At 49.8% G+C, this 19,297-nt stretch overlaps 1 protein-coding gene and 1 pseudogene across 9 annotated transcripts in view, besides 4 other annotated features; one reads left to right on the forward strand and one right to left on the reverse strand.

Annotated features, from left to right (window-relative positions):
• On the reverse strand, positions 4,196-4,503 carry RN7SL380P (RNA, 7SL, cytoplasmic 380, pseudogene; annotated as a pseudogene).
• Positions 7,125-7,419: a silencer, noted in NCBI's record as "tiled region #1171; K562 Repressive non-DNase unmatched - State 3:PromF". NCBI's record gives its function as "represses a minimal TATA promoter and a strong SV40 promoter by Sharpr-MPRA in K562 cells {active_cell/tissue: K562}" and the evidence as "EXISTENCE:reporter gene assay evidence [ECO:0000049][PMID:27701403]".
• Positions 9,354-9,911: an enhancer, noted in NCBI's record as "H3K27ac-H3K4me1 hESC enhancer chr12:6898178-6898735 (GRCh37/hg19 assembly coordinates)". NCBI's record gives its function as "activates a minimal SCP1, AML or CMV promoter by ChIP-STARR-seq in primed H9 embryonic stem cells {active_cell/tissue: H9 hESC(primed)}" and the evidence as "EXISTENCE:reporter gene assay evidence [ECO:0000049][PMID:30033119]".
• Positions 9,727-9,776: an enhancer, noted in NCBI's record as "active region_5882". NCBI's record gives its function as "activates an Ori minimal core promoter by ATAC-STARR-seq in GM12878 lymphoblastoid cells {active_cell/tissue: GM12878}" and the evidence as "EXISTENCE:reporter gene assay evidence [ECO:0000049][PMID:35858748]".
• The window catches only part of CD4 (CD4 molecule), a 31,272-nt gene continuing 21,844 nt past the window's right edge, over positions 9,870-19,297 (forward strand). For all 9 annotated transcript variants that reach the window (NM_001382707.1, NM_001382706.1, NM_000616.5 and 6 more), the window contains exon 1: positions 9,870-10,004. The gene's annotated coding sequence lies outside the window, so the exon portion shown is untranslated. The remainder of the gene's footprint in view (positions 10,005-19,297) is intronic.
• Positions 12,892-12,941: an enhancer, noted in NCBI's record as "active region_5883". NCBI's record gives its function as "activates an Ori minimal core promoter by ATAC-STARR-seq in GM12878 lymphoblastoid cells {active_cell/tissue: GM12878}" and the evidence as "EXISTENCE:reporter gene assay evidence [ECO:0000049][PMID:35858748]".

Below are 19,297 nucleotides of genomic sequence, written 5' to 3' on the forward strand. Positions count from 1 at the left end.
GTCATGCTAAGAATGATATTGAAGAACCCAAGTCGGCCTGCGCCCTGCTCTGTCTGTCTGTCTTGGAGCATTCACCTGGGCCATGTCAATGGTCCTCTCAGCAGAGCAAACACGGCCTCAGCACATGGCATCCTCCAGTCTGGCATGGGACAGAGACCTCTGCCTGCAAATAGGTGTGGGGCCCTGGACTTTGGCCACAGATGACTCTGTCAGGGGACTTTAACCCCATACAGGAGAACAAAATATTGAAAGCGAGTGGGTGAGTGGGAGTGAAACTGCTGGAGCAGGAGGGGCATGGTGGCATGTGTGAGTGGCATCCCACTGGGTCTGTGTGCCGTGTGCAAAAAGACACAAAAAGACAGACCTGAGGACATGTCCCTGCAGAGACACAATAGTCACTCATTAGAGACAGACGATGAAGAAGGTGACACCTTTGTTCTGTGCAGAGCCTTAGGTAGAGGGGGGACCCTCTGAAGCCTGAACAATGAACCATTTACAGCAATCTGAGGTTCTGAGCCTCAGGATGGTGATGACTCTTGCCTTGTCACTGGCAGAGAAACACTGGCACAGGAAGGAGGAAGCTCTGGCCCTGCCAGAGATGATCACACTGCAAAAGGAAGTCTTGAAGTCCTTTTAGAAGCTTCCAGGCCAGGTGTCATGGCTTATGCCTGTAATCTCAGCACTTTGGGAGGCGGAGGCAGAAGGATTGCTTGAGCCCAGGAGTTCGAGACCAGCCTGGGCAGTATAGTGAGACCTCATCTCTAAAAAAAAAAAAAAAAAGTTAGTTGGGCATGCTGGTACGCCCCTGTGGTCCCAGCTATTTGGGAGGTTGAGGTGGGAGGATCACCTAAGCCTGGGAGGTTGAGGCTGCAGTGAGCCATAATCGTGCCACTATACTCCAGCCTGGGTGACAGAGTGAGATCCTGTCTCAAAAACAAAAAACAAGAAGCCTCCAAAGCATCGTTCCTACCCTTCGCTGCTGCTCAGAGACTCCTCAGCTCCAGCCCAGGACCCTGCTCCCCACAGCCTTAGTGGAAGCCCTGATATTTTAATAGGGCAGGGGTTTCCTGGAAAGTTCTGTGGGTGGCATTTTTCCTTTTTACTAGCTAACATCCTATGCCCTTTGGGCTTATGAGAGTAGTCATCGAAGATTCACTGAGGCCTATGCGGGGACTTCCCCATGCTCTTTCATAAAGGGGACAGGGAGGGGACAGAGGCAGAACGAAGGGCCTCCTTTTTCCTTTACCCCTTAGAGAAGAGCAAAGGGCAGAAGGAAGAAAGGGCATATGGGCTGCATTCCGTGAGTGCTTCTCTGTGGGGTCTCTCCTCAGGGTGACATTCTGCTCCCACTCCTCTTCCCACAGCCCCCCACTCTCCGTCTGGCAGGATAATCTCCAGCCCTTTTCCTGTCCTCCAAAGGCCCCTAGGGAGCTTGGTTAATTCATTTGGCTTCTCCAGGTTGATCTGTAAACCAGTGTTCCAGGCTGCGGTCCTGGAGGGGAAGGAGCATCAGGAGGCCACGAGCTCAGGGAGCTTCAGTGGGTGGGTGGGTGGGAATCATCTCAGCTCCTTGTTAAGAAGGAAGGGGGGTGCGTGAGTTACCTATTGGCGTATAACAAACAAATTACCCTAAAACTTAGTAATTTAAAATAATAAGCTGGGTGTGGTGGCTCACACTGGTAATCCCAACACTTTGGGAGACTGAGGCAGGAGGATTGCTTGAGGCCGGGAGTGTGAGACCAGCCTGGGTGACTTAGTGAGATCACACTTCTACTTTTTTTTTTTTTTTGAGACAGAGTCTCACTCTGTCACCCAGGCTGGAGTGCAGTGGCTTGATCTCGGCTCACTGCAACCTCCATCTCCCGGGCTCAAGCGATTCTCCTGCCTCAGCCTCCCAAGTAGCTGGGACTACAGGTGCATACCACCACACCCTGCTAATTTTTGAATTTTTGTATTTTAATTAATAATTAATAAATTATTTTTGAGACAGAGTTTTGCTTTTGTCGCCCAGGCTGGAGTGCAGTTTGGTGCCATCTCGGCTCACTGCAAGCTCCGCCTCTCGGGTTCAAGCAATTCTCCTGCCTCAGCCTCTGGAGTAGCTGGGACTACAGGCGCCAGCCACCACGCCCGGCTAACTTTCTGTGTTTTTAGTAGAGACGGGGTTTCACTGTGTTAGCTAGGATGGGTCTGGATCTCCTGACCTCGTGATCCGCCTGCCTCGGCCTCCCAAAGTGCTGGGATTACAGGCGTGAACCACCACACCCAGCCTACCATTTTTTTTTCTTTTTGAATTTAAAAATGAGCTGGGCACGGTGGCATGCACCTGTGGTCCTAGTTATTCAGGAGGCTGAGGGAGAAGAATCACTGGAGGCTAGGATTTCCAGGCTGTAGTGAGCCATGATTGTGCTATTTCACTCCAGCTTGGGTGACAGGGTGAGATCCTGTGTCTAAAAAGAATAATAACAATAATAATAAACATTATCTCACACAACGAGGAATCCAGGAGCAGTCTTGCTGAGTAGTTCTGGCACAGGGTTGCTCATGAGGTTGCTGCTGAGGTGAGGGTCAGGTCTGGAGCCATCTGAAGGCTGGGATGGGGCTGGAGATTCTGCCTCCAAGACAGCTCACTCGGGAGGCTGTCGGCCAGAGGCCTTAACTCCTCCCTGTGTGGGTGTCTTTATGGGGCCTCTCACAACACGACACAGCAACTGGCTTCCCCCAGAGGGACAGCGTGGAAAAGACAAAAGCTACCACATCTTTATTTCAAGATTAGATTTGATCTTGAAAGCAACGTGCCATAATTTCTGCCCTATTCTATTGATCACAGAGACCAACCTGGTGCAAGCAGGAGGGGGCAATGCAAGGGTGTGAACTGAGGGAGACAGGAGTCACTGGGGGCCATCTTGCAGCCTGGCTGTCAGAGTGGGGAGCAGTGCCTGAAACAGAGATAGGCCAAGAGACGGGAAGGGACGTCTCTGAGCATCTCCATCCCCAGCCCTCTTCTCTTGTCCACTCTCCAGAAGTTCTGGAAGCCAAGTGAGGTCCAGGGCCTTGGCAAGTCGAGTGTGTGAGGTAGGAGGCCATACTGTGCACATTCAGCCTTGGAGTCGGGTTTGCCAGCGGTTCCCCTACCCCTGACGTGGTCTTCTCAGCTCCATAGTGCAGAGGAGGAGCCTCTGCAGGCCCAGAAATTTCCCTGCCCACCTCCCCTACCAGGTAGAGATGTTAGGGTTCAGGCCTGAGCCCCTGCTGCTATCCCTCCTTCAAAGGAGGAGATCAAGGAGCTTAGGGTCCCCCGCACAGGCCCACCCCAGGGTGGGGTTCTTCCTTTGAAGGGAATTGCTTTGGGGTGGGGTCGGTTCTATCTGCTCCACTCTGTGGCTGACAGTTTCTCCAAGGGGCTGCAGGTGTCAGCTGTCTGAGCCCGGGCTGAGCTCTGAAACGTGCCTACTCAAACTTCCCGTGGGGTAGGGGAGGCCCAGAACCACCCTCTGAGAGTGGCAAAAAGTGGTCCTGGAGCCAGGGGAAATGTGGATGGGGTAGAGATGGCATCGATGCTCCTAGACTTTGCTTCCCAGAGAACAGCCCCAAAGACCCCTCCCCTGCTCCCCATCCTCAAACCCTGCCCCCAGCCCCCTTTGCAGAGGGCGTCAGTGCTGCCAAAGATACTTCTGGTAAGGAGGCCACCGCAGAGTTGCACCTGGGGCTTTCAACTTTCCTGCAACCCTGGCTGCCCTAGGCCTCTCAGATCATCCAGTCTCCAGCACTCTGTCTGTAGCCTCTGACACCGGCTTCTCTCTCTTCCCCATCACTCCTTCCCCTGGCTTGGCCTCCTCCCGTTCTACAGCCTAGAGAGGCAGGATACATGCAGCAAAAATAGCCTCTGGAACTCCCCCTGTTCCATGCTTTCAGACATGTGATGGGGGCAGACAGCTTGACTTCCATTTCTTCTTCTGTAAAGTAAGGATAGTAACAGCAACACCTACCAAAAAGGTCTGGCATGTACAAATGAATGTGAAAGTGCTTGGAAAATGGAAAACCACTCTAGAGATGTGAGGACCATGGCACTGCTGAGCCTCAGAAGCTCCAGGTGAGGCAGTGGGCCTCATACCTCCCTCCACTGCTAAGGGAGAAGACTTCTCTTAGCTGTCATCCTGGCCTTTCTTCTTCTTTTTTTATTTTTTATTTTTTTTTTAGAGGTGGGTTCTCGTTATGTTGCCCAGGCTGGTGCGCAGTGGCTATTTACAGGCCCGATCCCACTGCTGATTAGCATGGGTAGCATGGAAATTGTGACCCATTGTGTGTCCGGCCTGGGCTGGCTCACCCCTCCTCAGGCAATCTGGTGGTTCCCCACTCCCGGGAGGTCACCACGCTGAAGCTGAACTCAGTGCAGACACCTGATCTGCATAGTGCACTACAGCCCAGAACTCCTGGGCTCAAGGCATCCTCTTGCTTCAGCCTCCTGAGTAGCTGAGACTACAGGCACTCGGCACCACGCCCCGCCTGGACCTTCTTTTTTTGGTTTGTTTGTTTTTGTTTTTGTTTTTGTATTTTTAGTAGAGATGGGGTTTCACCGTGTTAGCCGGGATGGTCTGGATCTCCTGACATCACAATCCGCCCGCCTCGGCCTCCCAAAGTGCTGGGATTACAGGCACGAGCCACCATGCCTGGTCCTGGACCTTCTTAATGCAGAGGAGAGGCAGTGCAATGAGGGGGACCACCCAGAAACTGGGGTCCAAGCGGGTGAATTCAAATCCCGGTTCCACCAGCTGTGGTTACTAGCTCTGAGACCTTTGACAACTGAAACTCTTCGGCTAGGCACAGTGTGACTCATGCCTGTAATCCCAGCACTTTGGGAGGCTGAGGTGGGTGGATTGCTTGAACCTAGGAGTTTGAGATCAGCCTGGGAAGCATAGCAAAACCCCATCTCTAGGGGAAAAAAAAATTTAGCTGGGTACAGTGGCACATGCCTGTAGTTCCAGCTACTTGAGAGGCTAAGGCGGGAGGATAGATTGAGCCCTGGAGGTTGAGGCTGCAGTGAGCTGTGACCGTGCCACTGCACTGCAGCCTGGGTGACAGAACGAGACCTTGTCTAAGAAAACAAAAAACTCTTCAAGCCTCAGTTTCCTCATCTGTATGGCCTGGACAATAATACCTATGTCTTATCACTCTCATGAGGATTAAATAAAAGATACAACCACATAAAGCACACAACAATGCCAAATGTTTACTATAAACTCACCCTCTCTCTTCCTTTTTTCTTTTCCTGTTTGGAAACCCCAGAGAGAGAGCCAGGTTCTCAGGACCGTTGACTTCCAGGCCACAGACTCACAGAGCTGCAAGTTCTCACACCGTCCATCGGGTCTGGAATCTGCAAACCGGTGGGCCCAAAGCTAGAGCCAGCCCTTGGAATGCTCTGTTTGCTCTACCCAGTGTCACGACAAGTTGAAAAAATTTGTTACCAATATTAAAATCAGGAGGTATTACATAAATGTCTGGTTTTCACCTTCTCTAGAAATTTTGGCAGAGCAGGCAACTCTAGGCTCACATGCCAGTATAGCCTCTACGGTCAACTCAGACAGCTATGCAGGGAATGGCTGCCCTTAACTAGCTGAGGCAAGTACTCTCTGGTTTCCCCCAGTCCCTACCCTTCCCTTTTGGTCACCACCAGTGTACCTTTCTCATTTGCACTACCTAGGGGGCTCCTGTAAGCATTTACATTTGTAGCCCTGCTCTCCTGCTCTTGTCCATACTTCTCTATTTATCCATTCAAAAATTATTTGGCCTGGTGCAGTGGCTCACGCCTATAATCCCAGCACTTTGGGAGGCAGAGGCAGGAGAATCACTTGAGGTCAGGAGTTCGAGACCAGCCTGGCCAACATGGTGAAACCCTGTCTGTACTAAAAATACAAAAATTAGCCAGGCTTGGTGGCGCACGCCTGTAATCCCAGATACTCGGGAGTCTGAGGCAGGAGATTCGCTTGAACCTGGGAGGCGGAGGTTGCAGTGAGCCGAGATCACACCACTGCACTCGAGCCTCGGCGACAGAGCAAGACTCTGTTTCCAAAAAAAAAAGAAAAGAAAAAAGAAAAAAAAATATTATTCAATAGCCAGGAGTTGCAGGGAGTTAGAATGAGGAGTCAGTATTTAATGGGTACAGAGTTTCATTTGGGGAAGATGAAAAATTTCTAGATGGTTACACAACCATGTGAGTGTACTCAGTCCCACAGAGCAGTACATTAAAAAATGCCTAAAATGGCCGGGTGTGGTGACTCACACCTGTAATCCCAACACTTTGGGAGGCCAAGGTGAGCAGATCACTTGAGGTCAGGAATTCGAGACCAGCCTGGCCAACATGGTGAAACCCCGTCTTTACTAAAAATACAAAAATTAGCCAGGCGTGGTGGCGGGCACCTGTAGTCCCAGCTACTCGGGAGGCTGAGGCTGGAGAATCGCTTGAACCCAGGAGGTGGAGGTTGCAGTGAACCTAGATTGTGCCACTGCACTCCAGCCTGGGGGACAGAGTAAGACTCCGTCTTGGAAAAAAAAAAAAAAAAAGCTTAAAATGGAAAATCTTATGTTGCGTGTATTTTACCGCAATAAATTTAATATCAATAAAATTTAATATATTAGGAAAATATTAAACAAGCATTAAGGGTCTTCCAGGGCCAAGGCATCTGTGAGGGTGCTGGGAACATAGTGCTAACTAAGACAGACACGGTCACCGCTCTGGCCTGTGAGCTAGACACTAAGCAGCAAATAACTTCATTGCAACTGGAAAATTGCTACGAAGGGAGAAGCACAGGGGACTGGGAGATCTTATCACAAGGAAAACTGATTTCAACTGAGGAACCTGAGTATCCTCTGAGACTCTGGGGAGGAAGTCCTGTGCAGGAGAATGGTAGAGCAACAAAATATAAACAGCCCCAATCTTGGCCCTGGAGGACGGCGTGCTGCTCCCTCTCTTCTGCACCACCCACCTCCACACTTCCTACATGTGAAAAATAACTTCAATCTTGTTGAAGCCTCTATTATTTTGGGTTTTCTTTTGCTTGTAGCAGAACCCAGTGCTTACCGATAGACAATTCTCCCAGTTGAAAGAAGGTTCTTTTGTGATAAGATCTCCCAGCACCTTGTGCTTTTTCCTTTGTAGCGCTTGTCGAATTGTAATGAAGTTGTTCGTTGTTTAGTGTCTATGTCATAAGCTGGAGTGGTGACCATATCTGTCTTCTTCAACATCACATCCCCAGCTACCTAGCAGAGTGCCTTGGGCTGGTACACGCTTAACTACGTACATGAATGAATGGAGCAGGGCTCAAAACATCAATGCCTACCAGAGCCTGCCAGGTAATGTAAATGAGAAAAGCAGACTGGCTGTGAACAATAGGGAGGGTGTTTGCTTTCTAGTCTGAAGGAAGAAGGCCTGAGGAGGATACATTTTCCCCACTTTGAGGAGCAACTCTGAGGTTGCACCTAATACTTTCACTTCTATCTATTAACCAAAATTGAGTCACTTGGACACATCCAGCTGTGAGGGAGGCTGGGAAGTATATTTTAAATCTGGGTAGCTAAGAGCTCAGCTAAAAATTGAGGGTTCTATTACCAAGAAGGAGAAAATAGACTTTGGGGACAGCTAAAGCGATAGCTGAGATCTGAAGAATGAATAAAAATTACCTAGATCAGTGGTTCTCAGAGTGAAGTGTGGCCTGCAGACCCTTGGGAGTCCCTGAGACCCTTTCAGGGGATCTTCAAGGTCAAGCTATTTTCATAAAAAAATACAGGATGTTATTTTCCTTTGTCACTATGTTGACATTGCAATAATGTTGCAAAAACAATCTGGATAAAACTGCTGCCTTAGCATAAATGAAGGCAGTGGTGCCAAACCATATGATAGTCATTGCATTCTTCACTGCCAGGTACTTACAGTAAAAAAAGAAAAAAAATTAATGCCACTTTTACTTAAGAATGCCCTTAATGAGGCCGGGCGCAGTGGCTCGTGCCTGTAATCCCAGCACTTTGGGAGGCCGAAGCGGGCAGATCAGGATCACCTGAGGTCAGGAGTTCAAGACCAGCCTGGCCAACGAGTGAAACCCTGTCTCTACAAAAATACAAAAATTAGCCAGGCATGTTGGCGGGTGCCTGTAATCCCAGCTACTCGGGAGGCTGAGGCAGGAGAATGGCTTGAATCCAGGAGGCGGAGGTTGTAGTAAGCCGAAATCATGCTGCTGCACTTCAGCCTGGATGACAAAGCAAGACTCTGTCTCAAAAAAAAAAAAAAAAAAAAGAGAGATCAAGACCATCCTGGGCAACATGGTGAAACCCCATCTCTACTAAAGATACAAAAATTAGCTGGGCATTGTGGCGCATGCCTGTAGCCCCAGCTACTTGGGAGGCTGAGGCAGGAGAATTGCTTGAACCCGGGAGGCAGAGGTTGCAGTGAGCCAAGATCACGCCACTGCACTCTAGCCTGGGCAACAGAGTGAGACTCCCTCTCAAAAAAAAAAAAAAAAAAAAATATATATATATATATATATAGAATGCCTTTAATGAAGCAGTAAATACTAATTTTATTAAATCTCAACCCTTGAGTACGGTGTGTCATGAAATGAGAAGTAGCACACAGTACTATATGCTACAGATGAAGTACAATGCTGTCAAATAGGGGTACTTGTGTTAATTGTTGGAGTCGCAAGCTGAACTAGAGTTTTCTTTTCTTTTCTTTTCTTTTCTTCTTTTCAAGACAGGTTCTCACTCTGTCACTCAGGCTAGAGTGCAGTGGTGCAATCACGGTTCACTGCAGCCTCAACTTCCTGGGCTCAAGCGATCCCCCCACCTCGGCCTCCTAAAATGCTGGGATTATAGGCATGAGCCACCACTCCCAGCCCCACTTTTTTCAGACTGGAAAACGCACACTCACATGTGCATCTTTAAATGATCACTTGGGCTGTGGTATGGAGAATGGCGACCAGTGAGGAGGCAGGAGCTGTTGTCCGAGCAAGGGATGATATTGGCATCTTGGATTGGCATGGTGGCAGTAGTGGTAGTGCAGAGTGACTTGGGTAGATTTTGGAGCCATTTAGAAGGTAACATCCACAGGAACTGGTAAATAAATACGTGGGAGAAGTTGGGTGAAGGGGGTGTCAAAGATTACACCCAATTTATTTTGCTTGGGCAAGTTGGTGGATGGTGAGCCCCTCACTGAGTGAGAAGCCTGGAGAAGCAGGTTTGGAGGGTGGTAGTATGCAGGTGGTATGCATAGTTGGGGATGTGTGTTGAGTTTGCTATGTCCGGTGAGCTTCCCAGTGGAGATGTCCAATGGGCAGACGGATACTCACATAGAGAGTTCATGGTAGATTCGGGCTAGAGGAAAGCACCTGAGGCCTGGCCAGAGACGCCTAGAGGAACAGAGCCTGGTTAACAGTCACTCCTGGTGTCTCAGATATTCTCTGCTCAGCCCACGCCCTCTCTTCCACACTGGGCCACCTATAAAGCCTCCACAGATACCCCTGGGGCACCCACTGGACACATGCCCTCAGGGCCCCAGAGCAAGGAGCTGTTTGTGGGCTTACCACTGCTGTTCCCATATGCCCCCAACTGCCTCCCACTTCTTTCCCCACAGCCTGGTCAGACATGGCGCTACCACTAATGGAATCTTTCTTGCCATCTTTTTCTTGCCGCTTAACAGTGGCAGTGACAGTTTGACTCCTGATTTAAGCCTGATTCTGCTTAACTTTTTCCCTTGACTTTGGCATTTTCACTTTGACATGTTCCCTGAGAGCCTGGGGGGTGGGGAACCCAGCTCCAGCTGGTGACGTTTGGGGCCGGCCCAGGCCTAGGGTGTGGAGGAGCCTTGCCATCGGGCTTCCTGTCTCTCTTCATTTAAGCACGACTCTGCAGAAGGAACAAAGCACCCTCCCCACTGGGCTCCTGGTTGCAGAGCTCCAAGTCCTCACACAGATACGCCTGTTTGAGAAGCAGCGGGCAAGAAAGACGCAAGCCCAGAGGTAAGGTGGTCAGACTCGGCTTCCTTCCCCGGAGCTGAGAGGGAGGGGAACGTGGGGCAGATGCACAGGAATGTGCTCTGCCCAGTTGTCTGCCCACAGCTCTGGCCACCTTCTCTTGCATTTCTCTTGGAACTGGTCATGAGCAGCGATTTCCCACTGGAACTGTGAGCTTCCAGAGGTCAGAGACTGTGCTAGACTCCTCTCTGCAGCCCCAGCGTGCACAGCTCAGTGTCCAGAGCAATGGGTGCTCCTTAGAGGAGTAGTGACCTAAATAGCAAGATCAGAGAGGGAGTGAAGACTGGAGACTATCCCAGGCTGGGAAAGGCGTGGAAGGCAACTAGTCGTGGGCAGTTGAGGGGAGAAGACTGGAAGAGGGGAAAAGAGGAGAAAAAGAGTGAAGAAGGGGAGGGAAAAAATTAGAAAGAATAAATAAATATAAGGTGGGAGGAAACCTATAAAAAAGAAATGATGAGGAAAAACATAAAAACAAGAAAAAGAGCAAAAGAAGTGGAATCTAGTCTAGAGAAAATTCTTGCAAAACCAATTTTCCTTAACGGGACAATCTCCAAAAATTGACACCAAATATCATACTTGCAGCATTTCATAAGTCGCATGATCTATGTAATAGTCTCTTTTAACTACCTTTTGTGTTTCTGTGTGTATTTTTAAATTTTTGTCTGCTTCTTTGCTCTTTTAAGATTTTTGAACAATGTCTAAAGGCACTTCTACTCTAGTTAGCTTTAAAATGATTCATGAAATAGGAAAGCTAAAATTCTCAGAAAGTGTTGAAACTGAGCTTTTGCGTATGAATTGCCCTAAAAGTTGCAGATACATATCTTTAGATAAATATGTCATTTAAGAAACGGATTCGAAAAGAATTGGTGGTAGGGGTCTCATGAGGCCGGGAGAGTTACAGAAGGATGTGCAGCCCCTCCTGGGCCTGGCAGGGTGTGAGGGAGAGTGAGGACTCACTGTCCCTCCTGAAGGGAAGCCCTGTGCCATCTCAGCCTTTCCGCCCTCAGACCTTTCCAGCCCCTGAGACCTCATGGCCTTGAAGCCGTGCTATCCCCAGTGTCCTCTGCTTTCCCCTCATAGGCTTCTTCTGGGAGAGAGGTTTCCTGGGGTACGTTCTGATCCCTCAAAACGGAAAGGCCCTGTTCTCAATAATTCAAAGATTTCACTCTGAGTGGGATAGTGCTTCCTGAATGCCCTGCTCTTGTGGTGGACATTTTTATCGGGGCAAGGCTAAGAGCAGGGCCTGATGGGGGAAGTCACTGCTACTTCACATTTTGACCAATAATTCCTTGTGCTGTATCAGATGCTGTAGGCTGATACAAAATGGCCGCCGCCCTCAAAGTCAGATGAAAGAGCCCCTGAGGACAGCGTTAGAGACACTCGGGAGATGATTTCCCTCTTTCAATGTGGGAGCACTTACATAGGAGAGGTCTATATCTAGATAAAAACTCCTCCCACCACTGGTGCTAGACAGAGCTTGGGGGCAGCCCTAGGCTCTGACCCTGGCCGTAATGGCGGGGTGGTGCTGAGGGCAATTGGCTAGACCAATTGTCTTGCACGTTTTATTTTTTATTATTATTTTTGAGACGGAGTCTCGCTCTCTTGCCCAGGCTGGAGTGCAATGACGTGATCTCCACTCACTGCAGCCTCCACCTCCTGGGTTCAAGCGATTCTCCTGCCTCAGCCTCTTGAGTAGCTGGGATTACAGGAGCCCAACACCACGCCCGGCTACTTTTTGTATTTTTAGTAGAGACCAGGTTTCACTATGTTGGACAGGCTGGCCTCAAACTCCTGGCCTCAAATGATCCGCCCGCCTTGGCCTCCCAAAGTGCTGGCATTACAGACGTGAGCCACCATACTGGGCCAGTCTTGCACATTTTAGACACTCAATAAATGTTTGTTGAATGAAATACCTGTGATGGGCCGGGCGTGGTGGCCCACACCAGTAATCCCAGCCCTTTGAGAGGCCGAGGCAGGAGGATGGCTTGAACCTGGGAGTTTGAGACCAGCCTGGGCAACATGGTGAAACCCCCATCTCTACAAACCCCACAAAAGTTAGCTGGGCATGGTAGTGTGTGCCTGTGGTTCCAGCTACTTGGGAAGCTGAGGTGGGAGGATTGCTTGAGCCTGGGAGACGGAGGCTGCAGTGAGGCCTGACTGTGCCACTGCACTCCAGCCTGGGCGAGAGTGAGGCCCTGTCTCAAAATAACTTTGATGAAGGTGGGGAATCAGAAGTAGGTGGGCAGGGGTCTGGGTTTGCAAGGCTCTGAGTTTGAGCTCTGTTCTGTACCTTTGAGGGGATGAGGGAAGGAGGGTGGGCACGGTTCCCCCGATGTGGGTGTCTGAGGCGAAGAAGAGGATGGCGGAGGTTGCAGCCACCAACCACAAGAGTTCCTTAGAGGGGTCACAGTCTCTAGGAAGTTTATAGGAAGCTAGTCAGCAGTAGAGAGGGTGAACGCGGTGGGGCACATCCCGCGGCTGGGCTTGAGTGGGCTGCTTGGGGGTTATGGGGAGAAGATAAAAGTGCCTGTGGGACCACAGACTCTCGCTGTGGTGGAGCTGGGCCCTCTTACCCTCCCAAGCCTCGCCCCTCATCCCATCCCTGGGGGCCAGGGGTGAGGGCGGCAGGAACCTCAAGGCTCTGAGAAAGTGCGTGGTGTGTGTTGCCATTTTGGTCTCTTCTCTTTCTCAGTCTCTCTTTGCCTCACTTTGGATCTATGCTCTGTGCATCTGTCTTGCTTCTCAGAATTTCTTCTTTTCCTCTTTTTTTGTACTACCCTGCGCTTTGTGTGTGATTGTGGATTGTGTGTGCATAGCTGTTGCTTTAACAAGCTGCTCCAGGTCTCTCTCTCCCACATCTTTCCCTCCCCTCCTCCCTTGAGGCTCTGTGCATTCTGGGGAACTCTGTCCATTTCCCTTTGTCCATGTGTCCCTCCCACCCTGCAGCCGGCTCCCTCACATCCACCCTGGGCTGCAGGCGTGCTCGGCAGGCTCCCCACAGATCAAAGCTTGTCCAGGGTCTGCATTGCTGCCAAAGGCCAGGAGGACTGTGTACAGACCGGAAGGAGCTAGAGCTTAGTGGCAGCCTGAGAGGGGAAGCTGAAAAAGGAGAAGAGGCAAGGGGCATTCCAGGGGAGCCCGGGAGAGCCAGCACGGCCGCCTGGTATATGAGGCAAAGAGGAAGACAGACACAGACACAGGGAGCTGCAGGCTGGGGGCATAAGCTGGGGGCTGGGAAGCATAGATACAGAAATGCACAGATGTGAGCTGAGAAGCAAGGAGGGAGAGAGAGAGACAGAAAGAGAGAGAGAGACGTGCCAGGGCTTGAGGGACCAGAGAGCCCTCCCAGCCTCTCTCGGAGTGCTGGTATACAGGATGCTACCGTACTAGGGTAAGACACCTCTGGGGACGCTGAGTATGGGAATCAAAGGCCAGATCTCTGGGGTGGCAGCGGAAGCCCAAAGCACCAAAGCAAGCATGCTGGAAACCCACAGCCTCCTCCACTTAGCAGAGCCTTGGGGTGAGATGAGGCAGAACAGGGAGCTGGAGGCAGGGAGGTGGCTGTCTGCACATACCTCAGGACCATGGAGCTGGGGGAGTCAAAACAGCCACCATATGGGGAAGGGTCAAGAATGCCTCTAGTCTTCCCCAGGCATCTTATCAGGGTAAGCTGAATTTGGACCCCAGAGAAGGGATATCGTTTATGGAGACTTCCCCTCTTTCATCCCCTGCTCACCAAGGACCCAGTCAGTCTGGGATGGGGGACAGTGGGAACCACTCTTTGGTATGAGGCTACTCCTATTCTACTCTTCTCACTGCAGCCTTCCCCTAGATGCCTCCCATCTGCATGCTAACCTGTAAACACTTCACCATCACTGGTGGCTAGTCTCCCTTCCTCCTTTTTCAGAAACCTCCTTCCTGACCTCTTTTCTTCCTACTTCCCCGGTTTAAACAAAATTGTATCTATCTATCATCTATCTATCTATCTATCTATCTATCTATCTATCTATCTATCTATCTATCTATCTTTTTTTTTTTTGAGACAAAATCTCACTCTGTCGCCCAGGCTGTAGTGCAGTGGCACTACAAGTAATCCCAAGTAGCTGAGATTACAGGCGCCCGCCACCATCCCCAGCTAATTTTTTTGTATTTTTAGTAGACACGGGGGTTTCATGATGTTGGCCAGGCTGGTCTCAAACTCCTGGCCTCAAGTGATCTGCCTGCCTCGGCCTCCCAAGGTGCTGGATTATAGGTATGAGCCACCACACACGACACCCGGCTTCTATCTATCTATATCTATCTATCTATCTATCTATCTATCTATCTATCACCTATCTATCTAATCTATCTATATCTGTCTATCTATCTTTATGTATCTATCTTATCTATTGATCTATCTATCTTTTTTTTTTTTTGAGACAGAGTCACTCTGTCACCCAGGCTGGAGTGCAGTGGCACGATCTCGGCTCACTGCAACCTCCGCCTCCCGGGTTCAAGCGATTCTCCTACCTCAGCCTCCTCAGTAGCTGGGACTACCCACCACCACTCCTGGCTAATTTTTGTATTTTCAGTAGAGATAGGGTTTCACTATGTTGGCCAGGCTGGTCTCCAACTCCTGACCTAAAGTGATCCACCCACCTTGGTTTCCCAAAGTGCTGGGATTACAGGCGTGAGCCACCGTGCCTGGACATATATCTATCTTTTTTTTTTTTGAGATGGAGTCTCGCTCTGTTGCCCAGGCTGGAGTGCAGTGGCGTGATTTCGGCTCACTGCAACCTCCGCCTCCCGGGTTCAAGTGATTCTCCTGCCTCAGCCTCCCAAGTAGCTGAGATTACAGACGTGCGTCACCATGCCCAGCTAATTTTTGTATTTTTAGTAGAGATGGGATTTCACTATGTTGGCCAGGCTGGTCTCGTACTCCCGACCTCAGGTGATCCACTTGCCTTGGCCTCCCAAAGTGCTGGAATTACAGGTGTGAGCCACTGCATCCGGCCTTATATATCTATCTTGTCTGTCTGACTGTCTAATCTAATTCATCTATTTTATCTGTTTATCTTATCTATCATCTATTTATCTAATCTATCTGTCTGTATGTCTGTTTTTTTTTTGTTTTTTTTTTTTTTTTGAGATAGAGTCTTGCTCTGTCGCCGAGGCTGGAGTGCGGTGGCGCGATCTCAGCTCACTGCTGAACCTCCGCCTCCTGGGTTCTAAGCGATTCTCCTGCCTCAATCTTTGGAGTAGCTGGGATTACAGGCCCGTACCACTGTGCCCGGCTAATTTTGTATTTTTAGTAGAGAAGGGTTTCACCATGTTGGTCAGGCTTGTATTGAACTCCTGACCTCAGGTGATCTACCCGCCTAAGCCTCCCAAAGTGCTGGGAGTACAGGTGTGAGCCACTGTGTCTGTCCCTAAATGTCTGTCTCTATCTATCTATCTATCTATCTATCTATCTATCTATCTAATCTATCTTTCTGTCTAACCTAATCTATTTTATCTATCTTATTCATCATCTATCTAATCTGTCTGTATGTTTATCTAATCTATTTACCTAATCTATCAATCTATCATCTAATCTATCTAATCTGTCTATCTAATCTATTTTATCTATCTATCTATCTGTCCATCCATCTATCTACCTACCTGTCTATCTCAAGCACCTACCACGTATTAAGCCCTGGCTACCTCCTCTTCCAGGCAGATGGAGTAACTGGAGGCAGCTAACAAAGATGGAGTCACTTTTCTTATCTTCTCCTAAACCACCGTAAGAGGACCAAGCCCCCACACCTTCTGAGTGCCCCATTCCTCTCCACAGATTGTGTCTTAGTGCCCAGCAGGAAACACAGTCCACCTCCCATGGTTCAAGAGATTGTAGAAAGGGGGTTATTCACATAGGTTAAGGGAATCAATCAATTTGAAGCACAGACACTATTAACAGCAGGAAGAGTCCTGAAGAAGTGAAAATGGTGTTTCTGGAACCCAGAGAGTGCTTGCACTCTGGATAAGGGGCCACCCCACAGAAGCTGTGGAGGGGCAGGGCTGCAGGTGAGGATGAACACACAGCTATTGACAGAAAATATGCCCAGGGCAGGGATAGAGTAGGAAAAATATCCCAGCTTCTTTCCCCCACCCTTCCATCTCATCTCTGAAAGGCACTTCCCACTGGCCAGCCCCGACTGGTGCTGGAGGGCAAGAGAGCCTATGAGCCATGTGTGGCTGTCAGCCCCTTGGTGGAGAGCCACAGACAGGATGGAGAGTGGCTGGCAGGGCCCCGTGGGGATGAACAGCTTGGATTGGGGCGACTGGGCTTCATCCAGGCTGGGCTGGATGTGTGCATACATTTCAGTGACCCGTTTTAGAAACAGAATTAATATGGTGAATAGAGAAAGAAGAAATCAGTGACTTTCGCTCCTCCATACAATTCAATTTGGCTTAAGTTAGCCAAAGCCATACCAAGTCCTCTCTCTATGTCTCAGCTGCTGCCAGGCTTGTGGTGGCCACACAGCTGGCTAGACTGTCATCTCTGTCCTCAAGGGGCTCAAGCTAGAGGAGGAGAGTTGAGAAACCAAATCACTATACACAAAGTAGAAGGTGGAACACACCCAGGAGCATGTCAACGGGGTGCTGTGGGACTTCAGAGTAGGCAGATCGTCACCAAGCTTCAACGGCAAAGATGCCACTGGGGGAAAGAAGGACCAAGCTTGGAAGACAGAGTAAGTCTGGAGGCAAGATCTTGTCTCACCAGCAGGGGCCAGGTCCATGGTGACACCTTCCCCAGGCAGTCACCTCTCTGAGCCCACTTTATATCCTAGGCCTGGATTCAAAGACACTTGAGCCCTGCTCCAGCCTTCCTTTGAGGTGCTATCTTGGTGCCTTTCCTATAATCACTGCTCCAGTCCCATGTCATCTGGTCCCCAGTTACCACATCAAGCTTCCCGAAGCTCCACACAGACCATGCCACATCTTTACCAAAAAATCAGCAGTGGGTCCCCTCACCTCCAGGACAAAGCTCCAGCTCTTCGACCTGCCTGTCAATATTTGCAATCACTGCCTGCACAAATTAGCTGGGTGTTGTCATGAAAGGATCACTTGAGCCCAGGAGTTCCAGGCTGCAATGACCTATGATTGAACCACTGCACTCTGGCCTGGGTGACAGAGTGGATCTAAACTAAAAATAAAAAGATTTACAGTCAAGCCTCAAAGGCTTTTCCCATACCTTCTTCCACCATCACCTCCCTGAGCCCTCTCTTTCCTCCGAAGCCTCCTCGCACATCCCTACCACCTTTGCACACCTCAGAATGGGGACACCTCTCCCCTTTCCTCTCCATCTAACTTATGGTTTTCAAACTTGAGCGTGATCAGTTACCTGGAGATTTGTGAAAACCCAGATGACTAGACCCACCCCCAGTTTCTGATTCAGCAGGTCTGGGGTGGGGCCGAGGATCTGCATTTCTAACAAGTTCCCAGGTCATGTTGCCGCTGCTACTGATCCAGGACTTTGGGAATCGCTCCTCTAATCTACAGCTGTCCATTCCCCATGGTCCATTCAGAGCCTCTCTGCCCTGCCCCCACCACCCCCAGTCTCGCCTGTCTGCCAAGCGCACAGGAAACTCTCCTTCATCCAAACCCTGGACCAACGCCTTCTGCTTGGCCCACTCAGAGGCCTTGTAGGGTTGGTCTGATATTGGACAGAGAAATGGCCCTCTGCTCTTTCTCCCCTGACCTCTCTGAAGGGGGCCTGCCCCTCCACACCTGTGGGTATTTCTCGCAAGGTGGAGACAAGAGACTGAGAAAAGAAATAAGACACAGAGAAAGTATAGAGGAATAAAAGTGGGCCCAGGGGACCGGCGCTCAGCAAGTGAGGACCTGCACCGGTGCTGGTCTCTGAGTTCCCTCAGTATTTATTGATCACTATCTTTACTATCTCCGCGAGGGGAATGTGGTGGGGCTATAGGGTGAAGGTGAGGAGAGGGTCAGCAGAAAAACATATGAGCAAAGACTCTGTGTCATAAATAAGTTTAAGGAAAGGTGCTGTGCCTGGATGTGCTAGATTTATGTTTAACTTTACACAAACATCTCAGTGTAGTAAAGAGTAACAGAGCAGTATTGCCGCCATGATGTCTCGCCTCCAGACATAAGGCAGTTTTCTCCTCTCTCAAAATAGAATGTATGATCGGTTTTACACCGGGTCATTCCATTCCCAGGGACGAGCAGGAGACAGATGCCTTCCTCTTATCTCAACCGAATAGAGGCCTTCCTCCTTCACTAATCCTCCTCAGCACAGACCCTTTACGGGTGTCGGGCTGGGGGGCTGTAAGGTCTTTCCCTTCCCATGAGGCCATATCTCAGGCTGTCTCAGTGGGGGGAAACCTGGACAATACCTAGGCTTTCTCGGGCAGGGGTTCCTGCGGCCTTCCACAGTGTATTGTGTCTCTGGTTAATAGAGAACGGAGAATGGTGATGACTTTCACCAAGCACACTGCCTGCAAGAACTTTTCTTTTTTTTTTTTTTTGAGACAGAGTCTTGCTCTGTCGCCCAGGCTGGAGTGCAGTGGCGCGATCTCGGCTCACTGCCACCTCTGCCTCCCGGGTTCACGCCATTCTCCTGCCTCAGCCTCCCGAGTAGCTGGGACTACAGGCGCCCGCCACCACGCCCGGCTAATTTTTTTGTATTTTTTTAGTAGAGATGGGGTTTCACCGTGTTCACCAGGATGGTCTCGATCTCCTGACCTCATGATCCGCCCGCCTTGGCCTCCCAAAATGCTGGGATTACACGTGTGAGGCAAGAACTTTTTAAAAGTGCATCTTGCGCAGCCCTAGATCCATTAAACCTTGATTCAATACAGGACATGTTTTTGTGAGCACAGGGTTGGGACAAAAGTTACAGATTAACAGCATCTCAAAGCAGAACAATTTTTCTTAGTACAGATCAAAATGGAGTTTCTTATGTCTTCCTTTTTCTACATAGACACAGTAACAATCTGATCTCTCTTTCTTTTCCCCATACCTCTCACGCTGTATCAGGCCCCAATTCTTGGGAACGTCACCTTAGAACTGTCCCACACATTTCTACAGCCACTTGGCTCAGGCCCTTTGCTGACCAGGATGGTTGCAGTTCTGCCTTTGGTGCCTCGCCTCCTCCAGTTCTTTCACTCAGCAGCTGCAGGGGTCCACGTGGCAAATCTAATAATCTTCTTCTCTATAGAAAATCCTCTGCTGGCTCTCTAGTGCCCAGGATCCAGTCCCAGCATCTCAGCACGGCCTTCAAGCATTTCCACGTC

Source organism: Homo sapiens, chromosome 12 (assembly GCF_000001405.40).
Source record: "Homo sapiens chromosome 12, GRCh38.p14 Primary Assembly".
Classification (NCBI taxonomy): Eukaryota; Metazoa; Chordata; class Mammalia; order Primates; family Hominidae; genus Homo; species Homo sapiens.